Source organism: Homo sapiens, chromosome 4, assembly GCF_000001405.40.
Source record: "Homo sapiens chromosome 4, GRCh38.p14 Primary Assembly".
Classification (NCBI taxonomy): domain Eukaryota; kingdom Metazoa; phylum Chordata; class Mammalia; order Primates; family Hominidae; genus Homo; species Homo sapiens.
The window spans coordinates 33845180-33847914 of record NC_000004.12 but is presented as its reverse complement, the minus strand read 5'-3'; the positions used below and the strand labels follow the sequence as shown (position 1 = coordinate 33847914).

General features: G+C 39.5%; 1 annotated feature.

Moving 5' to 3' along the window:
• Positions 1562-2329: an enhancer, noted in NCBI's record as "OCT4-NANOG hESC enhancer chr4:33847208-33847975 (GRCh37/hg19 assembly coordinates)". NCBI's record gives its function as "activates a minimal SCP1, AML or CMV promoter by ChIP-STARR-seq in primed H9 embryonic stem cells {active_cell/tissue: H9 hESC(primed)}" and the evidence as "EXISTENCE:reporter gene assay evidence [ECO:0000049][PMID:30033119]".

Below are 2735 nucleotides of genomic sequence, written 5' to 3'. Positions count from 1 at the left end.
TGAATTGAACCCTTTATCATTATGTAATGACTTTCTTTGCTCTTTTTTACTGTTATTGGTTTGAAGTCTGTTTTATCTGATGTAAGAATAGTAACTCCTGCACTTTTGTTTTCCATGTGTGCGGTAGATCTTTCTCCAACCCTTTACTTAGAGCTCATGGATGCCATTACATGTGAGATGGGTCTCTTGAAGACAACAGATAGATGGGTCTTGGTTTTTTTTTTTTAATGTTGATCATATTTTAGAAAGGTATTGAGAAAAGTTTTCTTCCTGATAAATGTCATACTTTAGTAACTAGCAACTTGAGATTCACATCACAGAATTTGCCTTAGAGGTTGAGCAATAATAGCCTTTTTTTGACTAGGCTTGTAGCTTCTCTAAAAATTCAGCATCTGGCCAGGCGCAATGACTCACACCTGTAATCCCAGCATTTTGGGAGGCCAAGGCAGGTGGATCACAAGGTCAGGAGATCAAGACCTTCCTGGCTAACACAGTGAAACCTTGTTTCTCCTCAAAAATGCAAAAAATTAGCCTGGTGTGGTGGCGGGCACCTGTAGTCCCAGCTACTCGGGAGGCTGAGGCAGGAGAATGGTGTGAACCCGGGAGGCAGAGCTTGCAGTGAGCCAAGATTGCGCCTCTGCACTCCAGCTGGGGCAATAGAGTGAGACTCCGTCTCAAAAAAAAAAAAGAAAAGAAAAGAAAAAAAAAATTCAACACCTAAAAATTTACACTTTCTTCTAGTCAATTTCTTTCTATTTGCATCATAAATTAATAACAAAAGGGGTAGATATTTTATTGAGCCATGGTCCCTGAATCAAAACCACAATCTGGAGGTTTCCATCTCGTAATAAAAGAAGTTAAAACCCAGTACATGTTGCTAGATGTCATTTAAATGATCTTCATTCTTCTCTGTCCAAGAGCAATGTGAAGTATTAGGCCAGAGACAGAGATATAAATAATCTTTTCCCAAGCACCCCCATGCTGGTCACAGAAGCTGGCTCTTTAAAGTTTGAGTAACTGTCACTTTGTCAGGCATGGTTATAAAGTTGCTAGAAAGAACTAGTAAGGAGCATTAATATCAGATTTCCCCAGATGCCAATTTTGTTTTCTGCTGTATCTCCCTCCTCTTTGAATTTCCTCATACAATATTTCATCTAAAATGGAGAATTCAGCTTTCTTAGTCTTATAATAAACACATTTATCTGTCTTGATTTGATACAACTTCTCTTGGCAAGCATATTCTTTTTTTTTCTTTTCTTTTACAAATAGTCTGGCATTTTATAACAAGACACATTAAAATATCTTTATAGATAGGTGTTGTGGGAAGTCAGGGACCCCAAACGGAGGGACTGGCTGAAGCATGGCAGAAGGTGGATTGTGAAGATTTCATGGACATTTATTAGTTCCCCAAATTAATACTTTTATGCCTGTCTTTACTGCAATCTCTAAACATAAATTGTAAAGATTTCATGGACACTTATCACTTCCCCAATCAATACCCTTGTGATTTCCTATGCCTGTCTTTAATCTCTTAATCCTGTCAGCTGAGGAGGATGTATGTCACCTCAGGACCCTGTAATAATTTCATTAACTGCACAAATTGTACAGCATGTGTGTTTAAGCAATATGAAATCTGGGCACCTTGAAAAAAGAACAGGATAACAGCAATTGTTCAGGGAATAAGAGAGATAACCTTAAACTCTGACCGCCGGTGAGCCGAGCGGAACAGAGCCATATTTCTCTTCTTTCAAAAGCAAATGGGAGAAATATCACTGAATTCTTTTTCTCAGCAAGGAACATCCCTGAGAAAGAGAATGCGTGCCTGGGGGTAGGCCTATGAATGGCCCCCCTGGGGGTAGCCGTCTCTTATGGTTGAGACTGCAGGGGTGAAATAGACCCCAGTCTCCCATAACACTCCCAGGCTTATTAGGAAGAGGAAATTCCTGCCTAATAAATTTTGGTCAGACCGGTTGATCTCAAAAACCCTGTCTCCTGATAAGATGTTATCAATAACAATGGTGCCTGAAACTTCATTAGCAATTTTAATTTCTCCTCGGTCCGGTGGTCCTGTGATCTCGCCCTGCCTCCACTTGTCTTGTTATATTCTATTACCTTGTAAAGTACTTGATGTCTGTCACCCACACCTATTCGCACACTCCCTCCCCTTTTGAAAATCGCTAATAAAAACTTGCTGGTTTTTGCAGCTTGTGGGGCATCGTGGAACCTAACAACATGTGATGTCTCCCCCAGATGCCCAGCTTTAAAATTTCTATCTTTTGTACTCTCTCCCTTTATTTCTCAAGCTGGCCAATGCTTAAGGAAAATAGAAAAGAACCTATGTGAATATCAGGGCAGGTTCCCCAATAGATAGGCACATGATCTGATATCTGAGCTTTAGCAGTTGACTCTTTAATATTTAATGTATATCATTCAACACATATTATTCACTTCCTACTTGGAAATTAAACACTTTCCTGCTACATTTTTCATCCCAATTAATAAATCTAATTGTACATGCTAAAGTTTATTACTTGCAACACTCCTTTAACAAGTACAACTGACTCAGGAACATATGGTAAAAATACTACTTAACTCTCTTAATAACCAGCTTATAACCAATGTGAGCAAGTAAATATTTAAGAATCATCTCTCCACCAGGCACCATGGCTCACCCCTGTAATCCCAGCACTTTAGGAGGCTGAGGTAGGTGGATCACGAGGTCAGGAGATCAAGAC